Genomic DNA, 21292 nt, shown 5'->3' on the forward strand with positions numbered 1-21292 from the left:
TGCTAAGTCACATTTTCTTTCTCTGCTGTCGTGCCTACCATTATTTGTGTGTAGTTTGCTTTCTGTAATTGGGTAATGTCAGTGTAATTGACAGTATTGTAAATAATTTTGGGCTACTCATTGTGTGCGCACACTTGGAGTATAAAATGAATGTTTGCCTTTAGACTTCGGCGTAAATGGAGACGAGAGGTACTGAGTGCCAGGTGCAAGCAAGGCCTTCTGGAATGCTGCCTTGTCACAATCCTTTTCTGTTTGACGAGATCGATGCAGTGAAGGACAACAAGATTTTCTTAGCAGTGGAGAAGTGCCACGAGTGATGAAGCAATAAGACATGTGCAGGAGAGAGCGCAGGTGTAGTGATCAGGCACAAAGGCAGTAAGAGATGGCTGGTTGACCTCCCACCATAGGGAAGAACCTTGTTTTGGCTAATTGTCTTGTTGGGTGTTCAGAAAGTTGACCTCCAGGGAGACAGTGTTAGATAAGAGCATGAACATACAATTAAAATGATTAAATTAAAATTTATTTTTGGAACACTTATTTCCTTAAATGTGAGAATGAAATCTCTAAGCATATGCTTTCTTTTCTTTTTCAGTTTAAACCTTTTTAGAAATGAGACTGGGTAGATTCCATTTTAGCTCAACAAATGTCCTTTTAAAGCTTTCTTAAAAGTAAACATAGGTCAGTTTTAATTAAGATTTGAATGATACCCATAGATTATTCATTGTACCTTAGAGTTGATTCCAGATCCTGTTTACATTGATTTAGTCCTACTTTTTTTTTTTTTTTTAGTAGCTTTTTCTTTTTTTAGTACTGTAAGAACTCACTGTTGGTGTTAAAACACAGATTAGCTAACTTTGAAGCTTATAAGTATACTCTTATAAAAAGATTCCAAGTTCCAAATCAAGATTCTCCTATGTGGGAGCTAGGATGTTTCTGCCTCTTGTCTCTTCACTTTTTCTCTTTCTCTCTTTTTCCCTCCTTTCAGCAGCAGTTACCTAACGGATGCCAGGGACTGTGTTAGGTACTTAGTGACTTTTAGGAACTTGGACTAAGTATTTGTAAAATAAGTACTGGAAAATGATTAACATCTATCAATTTTTTTATAACTTACCATGCACTTTGACTATCATATCTCACTTATTTAAATTCTTACCACAGCCTTGTGTAGTGTTGTTGTCATGTTACAAGTTCAGACACAGGCTTTGACAGGTTCACTTACTTCCTTGCCTAATGTTGCATAGTTAGTGAAGCGCTAGCACTGGAGTCTGTACTTAGGCCCCTCTGACTTGCCTCGGTATGATTGTGCTTGCTTTGATTCCCGTCATTTCTACATTTAGTGGTGGCTTTTAGTGTTCCATTTTCACTTCCCACTTACACTGCCATTCTGCCCCCAGATTCTTATTACCTCATTCTTGGCTCGGGGGGATAAGCTTCATAATTGGTTCTCGTTGTTCTTCTGAGTCATCTTCCTGTGAACCTTGGTCAAATTAGTATTTTTTTTCAAGTGGTTTACCTTCCATGCTACCCTTAAGTTCACCCTTGCAGTTGGGTTTTGTAAGCTAGCCCCTATCCTATTGTCCTGCGAGACCATTCTTCCCAGTTTCCACTTAAACAGTGAAGGATTCCTTCCTGGATTATTTTCTTCCCACTCCAGCATTTCACATCTTTCAAGATGCAGTGCTTATCTTGTCTCTTCTTTGAAGCCATCCCTTACTTCTTCAACCCACTGACCTCTGGATTCCAATGGTCTATTTTGCTAGTATTTTTTTCTTTTTCTTGACATTTCATAATGTAGCCACATGTCTCTTAATTTTTATCTCTTCCATACCTGGTGATTTGTGTTCAGGGGCCTTATGTAATGTTCAGTTGACTTAAACAGAAGGAAGAACTCTAAAGTCAAGACTACTGTACTCCGAATTTTTGCTACCATGAAGTGAAACAATGGTAGCATGATCTCAGATGTTGCCAGCTGAAATAGTTTGGTATATATGCTCATTTGTCTTATAGGTGTCTTTTCTGTTTTTTGGCATCCTGTGCTTAATTCTTTTTTTGTAATCTAAGCTTTGTTCCAATTCAAAAGGAGTTGTTATTGTGTAACATGAAGCTTAGATGCATATATTGAGTTGCTTTATGTATTTTTTTTCCTATTTGAGTTTGGTATGCAGATGACTTCCTGAGGATGTAAATTTTCAGTGGAAAGCTTAAAGCTGGTTTTGGCATGATGTTTATTCTGTAACATGCTGAATCATTATATCAAATATTGAGTCGTTTTCCTTTATCTCCTTCTTTTATACAATATTCAATATTTATAACATCTGCTAACTACTGAATTTTTAAATCTACTTTTGTGGTTGAAGTTTAAACAGCTACTTTTACAGGCCGTATTTATCTTTATTTTAAGGTAGTTACACAGGTAATGAAAGAAATGTGAAATAGGACAGGCTGTTCTTGAAGGTCATGTGAATTGCCCTTTGAACTTGTTATATGATTAGAAATAAGGAGTTTTCAAATTCATAAACAAGTGCTTGTTTATATGGCTCTAACAAATATAATTGTACAACACTGCTAATATGGCAGATTAGTTTCCAGAAATGCTGTTCATAAGACCACTTTTTAAGTCTCTAAGCAGTGTGTGTATCTGTACCTGAACTTGTTAATGGGAGGACTGTCTTTGTGATGGCACTGGATTCAACTTTCACATTTCTTTTCAACACTTTTAAATTGTCCAAGCAAATTTTTGTTTTGACTTTGTTCTTTTCAATGCATATTTTGAAACACGGTTTCAAGTCCAAGGCAACATCTGAGGCTAGTGCCATCTGTTGGTGACAGTTAGAATTAAATCACTTTTGCTTTGATGCGAAGCTTTGTTCTTTACCATGAAAGTGTACATTTTAGGTGAAATGCCGGCTTATTAAGTGAAGACTTCATGAAGTTTTTAGAAAAATTTATTCAGCAAATATTTGAACACCTGCTGTGTGCTAGGCATTGAGAGCTGTTAGCAAAACCAACAGTATTCCCTGTGCATTAATGGGTGGGATGGACAAAAAATGAATATGTGTGCTATGGTAGGGGCAAGATGAAGCAGTGTAAGGGGGATATAGAATTCAGGGAAGGTGGGTGGCATGCTGCAATTTCAGATAGAATGATCAGAGGTGGTCACCATGGAGGGTGTATAAGGCACTCTTCTGTTGTTGCTGGATCATGAACTTTAGAGGTTTTAAGCATTGAAAATATTATTGTTCCTCCTCCCCCATAGGTAATTTGAAATGAAAACAGTATGAAACTTGAAAATAGTAAGAAAGTCCTGAAGTTATTTTCTCCATGATGGCTACTTCACTGCTTTTGTTGAAATAAATTATTTCAAGAACATTAAAAAAAAAAAGTATTCCAGCTTTACTGGTTCTCTGAGCATATGTGTAAGCTGCCAGTTGGTTTATTGAACACTGAGAGCTAGGCACTCTAGGGGGAATGTGAAGATAATTCAGACCTTCTTTGAACCTTGCACTAGCAGGTTGATTGGTTAGAGCAGTGGCACTTCAGTAAATTAAGTGGGAACAGGGATGTCTGCATATTAAGAAATGCCTATTGTTTAGTGAAAGTGAAGTATAAGTATAAACTTACTTATAAAATAAGTGTAAGATTAGCATACAGATTTCATGATGATTTAAATCTTAAGTCTTTAGGACAGTGTTTCTCAAGCCGTCTTTGCTGAAGGGTTAATGTTGTAATTTTGAAGCAATCACAAACCAATGACTTTGTAAAATATATTAAAGTTAAAATATGAGAAAAATGAACCCCTCTTTGCTTCCCTAGTTCTTTTTTTTTTTTTTTTTAACCTTTTTGCTTCTTCCTTTGTCTCCCTCTAGGTTGGATTATTTTATCTTTTAATAATAAAACCTCATTCTGTATTCTTCTGTTTGTTTCTTCTGTTTATATGGCCATAAAATTATACAGTGTTGTGGTGTGTTTTTGCATGTGTGAGTGTGTGTATTCGTAACATAGTGAATGTTTAATGGAAATACACTGTTTGTCACTGAATACGTTTTGCAGTTTATCACCCTTTCTATGCCTCTTGGGTTATCATGGATGGGCGGGATTTGGCCTTATAAGTGATACCACCGAAGTTGAAATGTGAGGGTTCCTTGATTCTTTTTGGTATTGGGCTCTGTTATGGTTTGAATGCATCTCCTCCAAAATTTGAATGTTGTCAGTGGAATAGTATTAAGAGGTTGGGGCCTTAAGAGGTGATTAGGTCATGAGGGCACCTTCCTCCTTAATGGGATCAAGACCCTTATAAAAAGGCTTCTTGTAGTGTTCTTCCAGCTTGCTCTTCTGCCATGTGAGGACACAGTTTTTCCTTCTTGCCCTCTGCCTTCTGCCATGTGAGGATGCAGCAAGAAGGCTCATACCAGATGTCAAATGCTGGTGCCCTGGTCTTGGACTTCCCAGCCTCCAGAACTTTGAAAAATTTCTCTTCTTTATAAATTACACTGTTCCAGGTATTTTGTTATAGCAGCACAAAGCAGACTAAGACAAGTTCTCTAGTTGAATTGTCCACCCTATACCCCTAAAGGGAAGGAAGATTAAGAAGAAGAATTAATATATAGGCTTCTGTAGGCACATTGTCTATATAATGAAGTGTGTAGTAAGATGAATGTCTTTGAATCAGGTAGCACTTCTTGCTTTTTTTTCAGCATTCTCTGCAGCATCTTTCACATGTTAGGCACTTAATGCTTGTTTGTAGCATGGAGTCCATTTCTTCAAATGAGCCTCTTCCAAGGCATTCATTGACAACACTTTCATCCCTAGTATCAAAATAATAAAATGTAGTTCTTCCTCAACACATTATGATCAGAAACATCTATGATTTTTGTTTTAATAAACCAAATTTTTAAAACTTATTTTTCAAGCCAGGAGTGTTTTGCCATAGGACAAAAAAGTTTATCTCTATTAAGCAGGTAGCAGATCATCAATCTCTGGAAATTTTTTCCCCTCCAGAAGGCTGTTGCTGTTTTTTATTTCTTTTATTCTTTTAGCTTGCCTGCTGGCTGTTAGAATAGAGGTGACAGACGGTCTTGATATACTGTTGGGCAGAGAATCTGCTGGTTTTTATTTGGCATAACAAATGATTGAAAACAGTGATGTTTTGTTACAGTTCTAATAAGGCCGACATGGTAGTGATTCTTAGGGTGCATAAATTCTAGGCTCTAGAAAAAAGTGCCTTAGTAAACTGGGCACTGTAAATGTCCCTGGACTATATAAGAAGAAATTTCTTGGCATTAATGTGCATGAGATAGATATCACTTATTGCAGCTTTTGGAAAAGTGCATAAAGGATGAAGCTAATATTTTCAGCGATGATCTGTCTTGGAGCCGTTTTCCTTCCTGTTGGTCTATTCTCTCTCCACCTCTTTCATTGCTAGACTCAGTGAATCAATTTCTCAGTGACAACCATGATAAGGCATGCCTACACCTAATAATTCTCACCCAAGTTTGTTTTTAAAATTAAAATGGCCTATTTCCTATTATATCTTTGGGTGATAACGATTAGAATAATTCTTCCACCTGCGTGCATTTTCATATGCACTGATTTTTGTCATGGGAAGAAACAAAGCAGAGGAATGTTTTCTTCCTTGCTGTGATACCTAATTTTGGAAGGTACACTAATTTCAAAATGTTTGATATGGGAAATGGTTGCATATTCCAAAAACACTTAGCACGACCTTGCTAAATAATGCTCTCTCCTGTGGTTTGGATCAGCATTGTTTTGTTTTCTTTGCATCTTTTGATCTATCTGAACTGTCTTCTGCTTGCAGATATATTCATAAAATAGGATTTTGCAAATTGAAGAGTAGGTAAATTACTATTAAAGCGCTGTATTTGTACTCCCTACTCAAATCTTCTGAGACTGAACTTTTTTTTTTTTTAAAGGAATCTATGAAAATCTGGCTTTCAGCGAGTCTTATTTTCTTTTTACTGTTTCCTCTTAAGAGTTTTTTAAGTTGGCTGAATTTACTCTACTTACTCATATGTGTTTTAGTAGCTATTGAGCCATTTTATTTAATAGCTTGAATAAACTATTGGTTATTGAATCTTTTTAGAAATACTTATTTCTAATCCCCTCTCTTTCCTAAAAAGGAGGGAAGAAGAGATATTTTATTATCCAAGAATATGCTATCAATATCCTGGAGCCCACCTATCTAGTTTCCAGTGTGTCAACTAGCACCAGCTTAGCTAACCAGACTTACAGTGAGTTTGTAATTACATGATTAGGTATGGCATACCCAGTTACTCCTTCTTTTCTCTGCCTACCCCAAGCCCCATTAGCTCTGTTTTATGACAGAAATTTCAGATTTCTTTGGCTTTTCTGATTCATTTACTGACGAAAGAGACTTTTTCTAGGTTTCAAGAATTATGAAGAGTCTGAGATTCTACCCTACTTGCAGGTTAACGTATTAGCCTGCCATACTTTCTTATGTTGCTGGACAACTCATGGCACAGCAGGCAGTATGAGCTTGAAGTTTGCATTGACTCCCCTGCCCCTCAAGTCCCACAGGGGCCACATGGAGACAGGCCTGGGTTGGTGCTGTCCACAGAGTGGGTTTGTGTCCTAGGTGTAAAAGCTCAAGCTTAGGAGACCCCTATTGTTATTAAGACTGCTAGCAAACCTGGACAACTTTCGCCCCTGAGGGAGAAGTTATCTTTATTCTGGTCAGGAAACAACTCTGCCCCCCCAGGGAGACACTTTCTGTCTCTCCTAAGGCTGTATGCTATCCAGACATCCATAAAATCGTGTGGACAAGTTGCTGACACAAGATGTACAGAAACATGAGATGTCCATGGATGATGGCTTCCCAAAGTTAGGTAGTAGCAAAAAGTAGAACTCTGAATTTTTCTGTTTTTGTCGGCTTCTCCCAAACGAGAAAAGTTACTTTAAATGATGAACATGAATTCCAGAGAGACACAGATTCCTCCATGTGAAAGCCATTGCTTTTGTTTTGTTTGATAAGACCCTAAATTAGTGGGCAGTTAGCTTTTCTGGGGCTAAGTATTCCAAAGTGTGCTTTCTGAGCAATCTGTGCTTACTGCTGTTAGAGCACTCAGCATACTGCTGTCATACCTGTTTTTCCCACTATACTGTATACTTTTATGAAGGTAAGGAATATATATTATTCATTTTTGGGTTACCTCTCAGGTTTGCCTGTCATTATAATACATTCTTAATAGCTGGCTGTTGAGTGTAATGAGTGAATAAATCATTAGAAGCTTTTCCATTCAAATCTGGTTGTTCTTTTATCTTTGCTTATTCAGATTCTTTACCCCAATTTGAGAGTGTACCGTCTGGTAGAAAAAGTATCAGGAATATAAAGGATTAGTAAATATTAGTTTTCTGAATGGGTTGATCTTAGATAGAATCCTGTGTTAGTTTTGAAAAGCTGGGTCAGATGCCGAGTGAGTATCTTGTGTGAAATCATTCCTAAACCTAAATTAATCCACCCGTCATCCCTTTCTTATCAGATTGCTTTGATCTCTAGGACCAGTTTTCTTTGTATGGTCCTCTCATATTATCTTAAATTTTAGATTTTAGGGTTTTGTTGTTGTTGTTGTTTGTTTTCGTGAGAAGTTTTGGCTACCCACCTTTTTTTTTTTTTTTTGAAAAAATTTGGGTTTAGTGGTATATGTGCAGATTTGTTATATAGGTAAATTGCATGTCATGGGGGTTTGGTGTACAGATTATTTCATCACCAGGTGATAAGCATAGTACCTGATAGGTAGTTTTTTGACCCTCACTCACCTTCCTGTCTCTACCCTCAAGTAGGCCCCTGTGTCTCTTGTTGCCTTCAGATCCATATGTACTCAATGTTTAACTTGCACTTATAAGTGAGAACATGTGGTATTTGGTTTTCTGTTCCTTTGTTAGTTTGCTTAGGATAATGGCCTTTAGCTCCATCCATGTTGCTACAAAGGACATGATTTCACTATTATTTTTTATGGCTGCATAGTATTCCGATGTGTGTACATACCACATTTTCTTTATCCAGTCTGCCATTGATGAGCATTTAGGTTGATTCCATGTCTTTGCTATTGTGAATAGTGCCACAGTGAACATACGTATACATGTGTCTTTAGGCTAGAATATTTATATTCCTTTGGGTATATACCCAATAATGGGATTGCTGGGTTGAATGGTAATTCTGATTTGAGTTCTTTGAGAAATCACCAAACTGCTTTCCACAGTGGCTGAACTAATTTACATTCCCACCAGCAGTATATAAGTGCTCCCTTTTCACCACAACTTTGCCAGTGTCTGTTATTTTTTTTTACATTTTAATCTCCATTTTGACTGTGTGAGATGCTATCTTATTGTGGTTTTGATTTGCATTTCTCTAATGATTAGGGATGTTGAGCATTTTTTCATATGCTTTTTGGCTATGTATGTCTTTTTGAAAAGTGTCTGGTCATGTCCTTTGCCCACTTTGTAACGGAGTTGATTTTTGCTTGTCGATTTAAGTTCCTTATAAATTCTGAATATTAGACATTTGTTGGATGCATGGCTTGTTAATATTTTGGTTATCTGCCAGGGTTTTTATAGTTTCAGGTTTTACATTTAAGTCATTAATCTATCTTGAGTTGATTTCTCTTTATGGTGTGAGAAAGGGGGTCCAGTTCAATCTTTTGCATATGGCTAGCCAGTTATCTCAGTACCATTTATTGAATAGAGAATCCTTCCCCCATTGGTTGTTTTTGTTGACTTTATCGAAGATCAGATGGTTGTAGGTGTGTGGCCTTATTTTTGGGCTCTCTATTCTGTTCCATGAGCCTATGCATCTGTTTTGGTACTAGTACCATGCTGTTTTGGTTACTGTAGCCTTGTAGTATAGTTTGATGTTGGGTGATGTGATGCCTCCTACTTCATTCTTTTTGCTTAGGATTGCCTTGTCTATTTGGGCTATTTTTTTGGTTCCATATGAATTTTAAAGTCATTTTTTTTCTAATTCTGTTAAGAATATTATTGGTTGTTAGATAGGAATAGCATTGAATCTGTAAATTGTTTTGGGCAGTATGGCCATTTTAATGTTGATTGTTCCTATCTGTGGGGATAGAATGTTTTTCCATTTGTTTGTGTCCTCTCTGATCTCTTTGGCCAGTGTTCTGTATTTCTCTTTGGGGAGATCTTCCACCTTCCTGGTTAGCTGTATTCCTAGGTATTTTATTTTTGTGGTTGTTTTGGACGGGATTGCATTCTTGATTTGATCCTCAGCTTGGATATTGCTGGTGTATAGGAATGCTGCTAGTTTTTATAGATTGATTTTTGTATCCTGAAACTTTGTTGAAGTTTATCAGATCAAGGAGCTTTTGGACAGAGACTATGGGATTTCCTAGGTGTAGAATCATGTCATCTGCAAACAGGGATAGTTTGACTTCCTGTCTTCCTATTTGGGTGCCTTTTATTCTTTCTCTTGACTGATTGCTTTGGCCAGGACTTCAAAGAGCTAGAAAGATCTCAAATTAATAACCTAGTCATCACAACTAGAAAAACAAAACCAAGAGCAAACCAACCCCAAAGCTAGAAGAAGAAGACAAAAAGTAAAATTAGAGCAGAACTGAAGGACATTGAGACACACAAAAAAACATGCAGGCTGGTTGCAGTGTCTCCTGCCTGTAATCTCAGCACTTTGGGAGGCCAAGGTGGGTGGATCGCCTGAGATCAGGAGTTCAAAACTAGGCTGGCCAAAAGTGGTGAAACCCTGTTTCTACTAAAAATACAAAAATTAGCTGGGTGTGGTGGTGTGTGCCTATAATCTCAGCTACTCGGGAGACTGAGGCAGGAGAATTGCTTGAATCTGGGAGGTGGAGGTTGCAGTGAGCAGAGATGGCGCCACTGTACCCCAGCCTGGGCAACAAAGTGAGACTCTGTCTCAAAAACAAAACAAAACAAAAAAAAAACCCTGGGCATGGTGGCTCATGCCTGTAATCCCAGCACTTTGGGAGGCCAAGGCAGGCAGATCATGAGGTGAGGAGTTCGAGACCAGCCTGACCAACATGGTGAAACCCTGTCTCTACTAAAAATAAAAAATCAGCTGGGTGTGGTGACGTGCACCTGTCATCTCAGCTACTCAGGAGGCTGAGGCAGGAGAATCGCTTGAACCTGGGAGGTGGAGGTTGCAGTGAGCTAAGATCGCGCCATTGCATGCCAGCCTGGGCAACAGAGTGAGACTCCATTTCAAAAAGAACAACAACAACAACAAGAAACAAAAGATCAATAAATCCAGGGGTTGCTTTTTTTGAAAGAACTAGATTGATAGACTGCTAGCTAGACTAATAAAAAGGAGAGAAGATACAAATAAACACAATCAGAAATGACAGAACATTACCACTGACCCTACAGAGATACAAAAAACCCTTAGACTGTTATGTACACCTCTATGCGCACAAACTGGAAAACCTAGAAGAAATGGATAAATTCCTGGAAACATACAACCTCCTGGGATTGAACCAGGAAGAAACTGAATCCCTGAAGAGACCAATAATGAGTTCTGAAACTGAATCAGTAATAAAAAGTCTACCAACCAGAAAAAGCCCAGTACCAGACGAATTCACAGCCAAATTCTAGTAGATGAAGAAAAGTTGTTACCATTCTTACTGAAACTATTCCAAAAAATTGAGGAGAAGGGACCTCCTCCTGAATTCATGAGGCCAGTATCATCCTGATACCAAAAGCTGGTTGAGACACAACAAAAAGAAAACTTCAGGTCAATATCCTTGATGAACATAGATGCAAAAATCCTCAACAATATACTAGCAAACTGAATCCAGTGGCACATCCAAAAGCAGATCTGCCACAATCAAGTAGGCTTTATCCCTGGGATACAAGGTTGGTTCAACATATGCAAATCAATAAATGTTATCCATCGTATAATCAGAACTAAAAGCAAAAACCACATGATTATCCCAATATATTCAGAAAAGGCTTTCAGTAAAATTTAACATCTCTTCATGTTAAAAACCCTCTAACTAGGCATTGAAGGAATAAACGTCAAAATAATAAGAGCAAGCTATGAAAAACCCACTACTGACATCATACTGAATGGACAAAAGCTGGACACATTCCCCTTAAACTGGAATAAGACAAGGATGCCCTCTCTCACCACTTGTATTCAGCATACTAGTGGAAGTTCCACCTTCTTTTAAATATGGTTGGAAAAATTAACTTATTGTATTGAACTATTAGTAATTTTATTTTAGAGTGAGTTCACCATAGAGATCAGTAAGATCTCAGTGCTGTCCCAGTGCTGTTCCGCACTTAAGTTTTGGACCTAAGTGTTTATATGGTTTTGAGTAGGGTAAGATAAAGGGTGTGCGTGCTAATTACCATTGCCAGAAGACTTTGCAAGACCTTTTTCTATGGCTGTGTACTTCTTCAGCTTGAAAATAACCTTGGTAGAGGGAGTGGCAAATGGAAGCAGGTGTCCCATTTTCAGTGCCAGCGCAAGTGCTCCTAAACACACACATGCTGCTTGAACCCTTTGTCCCCATAATTGAGAATCTTGGAGAAGCAATATAAAAACTGCCAGGTAATACTTATGTTCCTTTTGAGACATTTAAATAAATTTAGTAATCAAAATTATATAGTTATTTTTAACCAGAAATGAAAGTAGGCTTTTTGGCAGGCCTATGTGTTCACATCTGTGCTGGGTTTATATGTTCTTGCCAACAGTGTACTTAGTGGTATAACAGAGAAAAATGATTCATAAGCTTTTTCAAATTCAGACCTACGACTCATTTATACTTATATTCCCATTAATATCGTTAGTATGAATGGCTTTATATAGTTTTCTAGGACTCCCTCATTGTAAGTTGAGAGAGAGGGTAGTCTCGTCATAGGAAGCATTTCTTTGATGGTATCCATATATTGAGTTGCATACATTGTATGAAATGTAAAGCCTTAGCAGATGCCTAAAAATGGTTATTTAATGAGGCCATTTATGTCCCTCGTTTCTCAGGTTGGAAGATTCTGCTGGACTACTTAGAACCCCAACTTTATTCATAGTCTGTTGAGATCTCTGTTAAAAAACAAAAAACAACAATCCACAGCCACTTCAGGGACTCATTTATTCTTCCAGTGAAAAGTCCATAGTGTACAGACCCCAAAGTCTACTGATGAAATAATTAAAAATACTATTGAGCCTTTATGCAGAGTGGGTTAGCCTGAGTATTTGGGAGTGTTAGTTGACCTTAAATACCCTCTGCCATGTCCCCTCTTAACCCTCAATAGTTAACCAAGTATTCTTTTACTCACTTATTATGGATATATTACTGTCCCAAATATGAAAAAGTTAGACTTGTCAGCCTTCAATAAACTTACATAGTGACACAGGACATTTATGTGGAAATGTTAAGTGAAATGATACAAGATAGCAGTGTAAGAAAGACAATGTAAACTATTTACCTGCAGTAATAAAATATTTTTAATTTGGCCTAGAACTTTGAACTTTGGGGCTAGAATCTTGGAAGATCTTTCTGGAGTAGTGGAGATTTGGTAAGTGTCTAAGGCTGTGTTAGATGTGATAGGTGAAGAAAGAGGGAAAGAGGATATAAGAGCACAGAGTGTGTTGTGGCCAATCAATTTTGGAAGGGTAGAAGAGCTCTATAGGAAATAGCAAGGGCTAATGAAACAAGTGAAGGAAAATTACTTTTTCCTTCCCCCTTCCCCCTTCCCCCTTCCCCCTTCCCCCTTCCCTTCCTTTCCTTCTTCCTCCCCTCCCCCTCCCCTTCCCCTTCCTCTTCCCCTTCTCCCTTCTCCTTCCACTCACTCCCCTTTCTTCCCTTCCTCCCTCCCCTCCCCTCCCCTTCCTTCCCTTTCGTTTCCTTCCTTCCTTTCCTTTCCTTCCCTTTCTCTTTCCCTTCCTTCTTTACCTTCCTTTCCTTCCTTTCCTTCCGTCTTACTCTGTCACCCAGGCTGGAGTGCAGTGGCGAGATCATGGCTCACTGCAGCCTTGACCTCCTCAGTCTCAGGTGATCCTCCCAAGTAGCTGGGACTATAGGTGCTTGCCACCATGGTCAGCTAATTTTTGTATTTTTTGGCAGAGATGGGGTTTCACCATGTTGCCCAGGCTGGTCTCAAACTCCTAGGCAGAAGCAATTCGCCTTGGCCTTCCAAAGTGTTAAGATTACAGGCATGAGCCACCACATCTGGCTGGAAAATTTCTATTTTACGTTTTAATGTTATCCAGTGTTACTACTGTGACCACTTACTTAGTGCCATTTAAATATAAATCTGATGATGACCTTAAGTAAATGAAAGTTAATACAGATCCATCTTAAAGCATGACTTCTAAAAGTGAGTCTTCCTTTCTATAATTCTCTGAAGTCTTAAATATAAACATTTTAACTAGCTTTAATAGTTTGAATTTTTATTGGCAAGATGAAAGTAGATTATTCAGATATTGAAGTCTTCTAGACCTTGAGGACCTGATATGACATAGGGTTAGATATGTTGAAAATTAGTGCATCATGTTATTCCATTGTTTTTCTTTTAGTGTGTCTTGTTCCTTTTGATAATAGCTTTTTTGAGATGTAATTTCTATCATACAATTTAGTCATTTAAAGTATGTAATTTAATAGTTTGTAGTATGTTCACAAACTTGTTCAGCCATTACCATGATCAGTATTAGAATGTTTTTTATCACTTCCAAAAAGAACTCTACACCCTTTAAGCTATTACCTCATAATCCTCTATTCCTTTCAGACATAAATAACCACTAATCTATTTTCTGTCTGTATAATTTACTTATTCTAGACGTAAGTAAATAATGAGGGCTAATGAAACAAGTGAAGGAAATTCACTTGTTTTCTTCCATTTCCTTCAGACATAAGTAAGCACTGGTCTATTTTCTCTATATATAGATTTACTTATTCTGGACATTTCCTAAGGAATGACTTCAAATGGAATCACAGTAAGTGTCTTTTGTAACTGGATTCTTTCACTTAGTATGTTTTTTTTTTTAAGTGTCATGTTGTTGCATATATCAGTATTGCATTTCTTTTTAGGGCTAAATAATATTCCATTGTATGGATATATCACTTTTGTTTATCCATTCATCAGTTAATGGACATTTGGATTGTTTCCATCTTTTTGGCAATTGTGAATAATGCTGCTACAAACATTGATGTACAAATTCCTCAGTGGACATAATTATTCATTTCTTTTGGGTATATACACCTAGAAGTGCAGTTGCTGGGTCAAATGGTAAAACTTGAACTGTATGCCTATATTTTAGAAGAACTATCAGACTGTTTTCCAAGGTGGCAGCACCATTTTACATTTCCCACCAGCAGTGTATGAGTGTTCCAATTCTTCCACATCCTCACTGTCACTCATTATCTGTCTCTTTGATTACAGCCATCTCACTAGATAGGAAATAGTATCTTTATGGTTCTGATTTGCCTTTCCCTGATGATCAATAAGGGCCTTATTCTCATGTTGTTTGTGGGTTGTTGGGTATAGAAAGCATCAGCCTTAAAGATAACAATACCTCTTAGCTTGGTTTGCTATAGAAATGTTTTGGGGGAAGGTAACGCAAGGGGCTATGAGGATAAGACTTGAATCTTGAAGAAAAGAACTTAGCCAAGAATTGTAGTTATAAGGGCTTTTTAGCAAGGGGATAGTGTAAACAAAGAAAGGCTTGCAGATAGAAATGTGTATGTCACATTGTAAGAAGTGACTGGGTAGAATTGAACATGTATGTAAAGGGGTCTGAACATATATATATAAGAGAATAGCTGAATTTGAATGTGCATTGTGCTAGATTAAGAGGCCCAGTATATGAATTTGAGCTTGACAGTAAAAACAGGGATCACTTAAAAAATTATTTTTTGTTTAGTGTGGTTATATATACAATAATTTAAGGTAGACTAGTTTGGTCAATATGTAAATTAAGGATAGCAGATAGGTGTCCTACAACATGCTTAACTGATCAGTTGGTAGTGATACCCTGGAGCTTCTATATTAAAAAGAATGAGACATTCAGTTTGGCTCAGTTGGCCAGAGTGCAGTGATTGATTAATGAGGTCCACTTTTAGCATGGGATGGAAGAGTTTTGACATGATCATTGCTTATTTTCCATTTCTGTAGGGTAGGCTGAGGTGATAGCAGTGAATGTAAGAAACATGGAGAGAAGAGTTAATGCCTTAGTATTTTCAGACTACTGATTGTGGGAGCAAAATATGGCTTCTCCCTTGACAGTCCCTTTAATTTCTGTGGAACTTGTTTACTTACCTGTATACTGCTGATTTCTCTGGCCTAATCCCCATTGTTTTATGCCTCCTATTACTTCCTAGTCTATCCTTTGGATTGTTAAATTAGTGCCCTATCTGATCTTCTTTCTCAAATCCATCCTCCAACATAGTTACTGGAATAGTCTTATTTAAATAAACATTTAACCACTACTATTAATGACCTTCCTCTTGCTGGAAACATTATGACCCTAAAGTTACCGATTCATGAAGTTGTTCTTGTTAGTACCATGTTTATCAAACTTTTTATAGATCCTTGTCTTCCTAGGTACAGTATGTCAGATAGAGACAGACACATACATATACAGTAGGAGTGAAAAAAAAATTGTCTGTGTAGGGGCTTTTGATATGGTAAAATAAGCTAATAGACTGATGTGCGTGCAAAAAATAATTATAAACTTTGGACACAGTATAAAATCTAAGTACTCTAGAGTGTGAGCAAAACTAAGCAGATTTTAGAAGGGACTTGAAACTTACAAGAAAAAACTGGCACAGGGTGGATTTTCTGTTTTAGCAGCCTGTCCTAAGGATGGGCCACAGCCACAGGGTGGAAGGCTCCTACAGAAAGTATGCAGTCTTTCTGGTCTGGGGAACACAGAGATACGAAGCTAGGGCAATCATGTCTGTCAGAGAATGAGCGGAGACTTCTGAACGAGAGAGAGCGCCAGAGGAGGCTAGCTCCAAATTATTACAGGGGACTTTAACTCTCCTTTGTCAGCAAATGATAGAACAATTAGATAAGAAATCAATAGACATTGAGACATTGAAGATCTGGACAACACTGTCAACCATCCTGGCCAAAATGTTATTGTAGAGCACCATATCCAACAATTGCAGAATATTCATTCGTTAGTTCACGTGGTATATTCATAATGCACCATATACTGGGTCATGAAATAAGGGTTGAAGACAGAATGTACTGATTACAACCGAATTAAAATAGAAATCAGTAAGACATCTAGGGAGACCCCAAATATTGGGAAATTAAGGTCTGAAGATAGTGTTCTTGCTAATTACCTGTTTTTGATCAGCTCTTGTACTCATTTATTTAATTTTTTTTTTAAGAAGTGGAGTCTTGTGCTGTCACTTGGGCTAGAGTACAGTGGCATGATCATAGCTCACTGCAGCCATGAACTCCTGAGCTCAAGTGATCCTCCTGCCTCAACCTCCCAGGCAGCTGGGACTATAGGTACACACTATCATGCCTGCCTAATGTTTTTAAATGTTTTAATTTACTATTTTTAAATTTTAAAACTTTTCTTTTTTTTAATCCTCCTGCCTTGGCCTCCAAAGTGCCAAGATTACAGGCATGAGCCACCACGCCTGGCCTAAACTCATTTTTAAATACTGGGGCAGTAGAATACAGAGTGGGTTGGATATGAATTACTGACAACCATAAATATCTAGACAACCATGTCTCTCTCTCTCTCTCTCTTTCTCTCTCTCTCTCTCTATATATATATTATATATAGTTTCTTGATGATCTCAATCTCCTGACCTCCTGATCTGCCCGCCTCGGCCTCCCAAGCTGCTGGGATTACAGGCGTGAATCATCGTGCCTGGCCGTATGTCTAGATTTTTGAAGGCATCTCTATTTTTGAAGGCTAGAGTGGTGATAGAAATAAAAATTCATCATTACGCTCCATGTGTGAAACAGGGATTTGGTTCAGGGTACTATAATTCTCCCAAATAGATGTTTATACTGTTATTGATGGAAATGTTTTTCAAGGAGTAGGGTAGTACTAACATTTATTTCACTATTCAAGGTTATTAGCTTACTGACAAGATGGTATGTTTTATCAGGTCTAAATTTAAAGTTCTTTTGATACTTAAAGGTCAAGGAGCTGATCGTTTTTTGTTACACTTAAAGAAATCATATAACTTTCCTATTAAACACTTCCCTTAATTGCTTGGCTTTCTCTACTGACGCTTCTTAGAGGTGTCATTGCTGTGAGTTTTTCTGTAAATGTCAATAAATATAGCATCTGTAAGACAGAAGTTGGATGAATCACATTTAATGTGTAAAATTTGTCAATGAAGTTGAGTAATTTGTCGTGAAAGAAGTCATATCAAAATTAAGTATTTAATGATCATTTAAAGCGTGCAGAATTTTAACTAGCTGTTTATTTTGATTTAAGTAGAATTATTTGCAAACATTATTAAAATGGCCATTTATCGTCTTGTTGCAAAGCTTTTAAGAAACTTAGGTAAAACAAGTGTTTATAGCTGTATTTTACTGAAATTTTACATGTAATTTTTTGGCACTTCTAGTATGATGAGCAATACTATAAGTACTCTGTAAAAATGATTTTTGTCTTGGGCTTGTAATTTCCTTTTCTAAGGAAGAAAATGATTAGAATCAAGTATGATCAAAGCTAAAATTAAATTGCAAAATCTGTATAAAGTACAGCTGTTGCTTTGAATGTTGTGGTTGTCCTTTGAGCTGGTGCTGCAAGGAAAAAAATGAATGTTACAGTTAATGGAAATGAGAAGCCATTTTAAGATTCTGTTATAAAAGATTTCATTTGAGAAACTGGTTGTTGGAGAGTGTCATTGTTTTCTTCTTTGGGAAACAATCAGGAAAGCTAACCTCAAAGGTTTTTTATTTTAGTATGTTTAGCAGTTAGTGATGCTATAGTACCCACTACCAGCTTATTTAGTACTAAATAGGCAGGTGTGATTTAAACTGAAAGACAGTTATATAGTTGACTTAAACTGAAGATTCACTTGCCAAATGTCATAATAGGAAGATAATGGGAAATATGAATCTTAAGTTATCTTCTAACTAGTTATTAGGTTATTGAACTACTCACACAATTATGCTGTAAATCAATTTCCCTTTTGTACAGAAGTTCCCCCAACTCTCTTTCACTCTCACCCTCTTCCTCTTGTCACAGACCCCCTTCAGCAGTCTGATAATGTCTATGGGGCCCTTCTTAGAGTAATGTTTCTAATGTGTAATATATACATTGGATTAGTTGGTACCACATTTATAGACTTCTCCCACCTGACTTTAATATATTAACTGCAGATTAAGAGGTTTTGTTATGGTACGAATTGAATTAGATAGACTTTTCTTATATATATGAATTTCATATATATTTTATATCTATATTGTATATTTAACTTTTTTCTTTTTTTTTGAGACAGGGTCTCACTGTTACCTAGGCTAGAGTACAGTGGCACAGTTATAGCTCACTGAAGCCTCAAACTCCTGGGCTCAAGTGGTCCTTCCACTTCAGCCTCCTGAGTAGCTAGAACTAAATACATGTGCATCACCACACCTGGTTACTTTTTTTTTTTTTTTTTTTTTTTTTTTTTTTTTTTTTTAGAGATGGGCTTTCACTATGTTGCCCATGCTAGTCTCCAACTGCTGGCTTCAAGCGACCCTCCTGCCTTGGCCTCCCAAAATGCTGGGATTAGAGCATAAGCCTCAACTCCTGGCCCCTAATTATGTTTTAAATTTCCATAAAATAGAGTACTTTTTATTTTGTTGCTTTTTATTCCTAGTATCTCTAGCATTGTATTTTGATCAGATAGATGCTCAGAAGAGTTTAACATATTCACTGTCTGGTATAAATGTCTCAAAATTTATAAGTAAATATGTAAGTAAACCTATCACAGGCCATGTACTTTAACATAAAAAATTCAGGGTTTGGGGATAGTGTAGGTATAGGTATCTAAAGAATCACAATAAGTTATAAAGCAAATAATTTTTACTTTATTTACAAGATTTTGTTATAATCAAATGAAACTTTCCATGAGTTTGGAATCAAAGACTAATTAGAAGAGTCCATCTAATTCAGTTCCTTCCATAACAAAAGCTCTTAATCTGCAGTTAATATATTATGAAAGTCAAGTGGGAGGGGTCCATAAATGTGATACCATCTAATCCAATGTATAATCCAATGTATATTTTATGCATTTACAACATTACTCTGAGAAGAGGCCTGTAGACATTATCAGACTGCCGAAGGGGGCCTATGACAAGAGGAAGAGGCTGAGAGTGAAAGAGAGTGAGTTAGGGGAAACGTGTGTACAAAAGGGAAGTTGATTTACAGCATAATTGTGTGAGTAGTTCGATAACCTAATAACTAGTTAGTAGAAAACTTAAGATTCACATCTCCCATTATCTTTCTGTTATTACATTTGGCAAGTCAATCTTCAGTTTAAGTCGACTGTATAACTGTCTTTCAGTCTAAATCACACCTGCTTATTTAGTACTAAGTAAGCTGGTAGTGGGTGTTACTGGGGCCACTGGAAGGCTTTAAAGAGGTTAAGAAACCAGTGAAAATACAGTTTTGAGCCGAGATGGGAATTAGCAATATTTTACTCCAAAGCTAGAGTTCTCTCCACCATATCAGCCAGGTCTTAGTATATGGTTAAGTTTCCAATAAGTGTTATTCATTTTTGGTTCTAGAGCTCTCTCTCCATGGGGTAGGTGGAGAAGGAAGACATCTCAGAATTATATGGGTTGTGAAGAATGGGGCATGTGGTAAGAACAAGGTACTGACGTCGTGAAGTTACGTCTTGAGGATGGTCATGGTAGTTTGAACACAGATACTGGCTTTTCTGTGGAAGTGTTAGAGCATTTGTGAGGGGTCCTCCAAGTTTAATCTGAGGTTAAACCTACCGGGTTCCTCTTGCTTCTGATGCTTAACACAAGTTAGAGAAAACAAATGGTGTCCTAGTGCATCTGTCAGTGTATGCAGTGTTTTGGGTTGCTACTTTCATTTTTTGGTGTTCTTTTCACTTTCTTTCCTGTGGGATGAATTGGGTGGAGGTGGCTCACTGAGTAATTCAAGTAGAGCCTTGATTAAATTCACAACTGTCACCTGATAGCAAGAACATGCAATAGTATTTTATCTGATAACAAGTGATGCATGCTTTGCATCACTATTATGGATCCATCTTTGTGTACTTATGGATGTCTGTTCTGAGTAGGTAGCTGATGAATGTCATGAATCAGTTGGAACAATTTTGTTGTTCTGGTCTAACAGCCAGATTGCCACATGCCATGTGGTAGTAATTTATTGTGGAATAATCACAGTGGTATTTATTTGAGGTGGTTTGTATTTGTCATATTCATATTACATATACTTTGAAAGTTGGATTTTTCCAATACCAAACCATAAACGTAGCCTAATATTTTTGCCATTGTGAACACCTTAGATTTTAACACCTTAGGAGATAAAGGAATATAAAGTGATTTGATTTTATATTCCTCGGAGATTAAATTCCTAGGAGATTTGATGCTAGATTTCGAGCCACTGCTATACAGTGAATGTCATTTGAGCTTCATTTTTCTCCTTTGGAGCCTGACATGTAATATGTGCTAAATAAATATTTGCTGAATTGAATTCTGCTAGCCAAGCTATAATGTTGGAAAATGTACCACTCTTTGTCATAAATTGGAAATGTGCTTTGTATATATGACCAGTGACTATTAGGAGTCTTTATTTCAGAAGGGAGAACTCTATAATGCATAAAATTTCTGCAAACCAAATGTGTGTTTAATTGTTTTCTACAGATGAACTAACAGCAAGACTGAGTGCTCATTAAAAATTTATGTCTTAATCCTAAGGCACAAACCTTACATAATTACTTGAATGCTTATCCTTGGTTGGATAAAAACTACTTAAAAATAACCACTGTTTTGTGATTTCACATTTGCTTAGTTTTAGATTAAAATAAATAACAGTCCTTTTAAAATAAAGATTGTTTATAAACATACAGACAAATCTACAGAATGCAGTCATCCATTCCAATGTAGATAAATGTTTACCAAAGGAAGCAACAGCATGGTACATATTATGTACGTATGTTGCTTACAAGGATTAATGAAACAAAAAATTTTGATAAGCATTAAAGATACTCTCAAATGGCCGTTCTCCCTCTGTCCATCGTGTTTTCATGGGTTACACATTTTATATATCATGAATGGAAAAGATTCTCTGTTCACGAATTCCTGGTTCAGAACAAAATAGGAAACTAAA

The 21292-nt window shown here is 37.0% G+C and overlaps 1 protein-coding gene and 1 long non-coding RNA gene across 2 annotated transcripts in view, besides 1 other annotated feature; one reads left to right on the forward strand and one right to left on the reverse strand.

Moving 5' to 3' along the window:
- Positions 1-21292, forward strand: part of DDX10 (DEAD-box helicase 10) — a 275859-nt gene that overhangs the window by 67270 nt on the left and 187297 nt on the right. The window lies entirely within an intron of this gene.
- Positions 1-21292, reverse strand: part of LOC124902750 (uncharacterized) — an 80188-nt gene that overhangs the window by 32832 nt on the left and 26064 nt on the right. The gene's annotated exons all lie outside the window — the stretch shown is intronic.
- Positions 1434-1553: an enhancer, noted in NCBI's record as "active region_5492". NCBI's record gives its function as "activates an Ori minimal core promoter by ATAC-STARR-seq in GM12878 lymphoblastoid cells {active_cell/tissue: GM12878}" and the evidence as "EXISTENCE:reporter gene assay evidence [ECO:0000049][PMID:35858748]".

Source organism: Homo sapiens, chromosome 11 (assembly GCF_000001405.40).
Source record: "Homo sapiens chromosome 11, GRCh38.p14 Primary Assembly".
Classification (NCBI taxonomy): domain Eukaryota; kingdom Metazoa; phylum Chordata; class Mammalia; order Primates; family Hominidae; genus Homo; species Homo sapiens.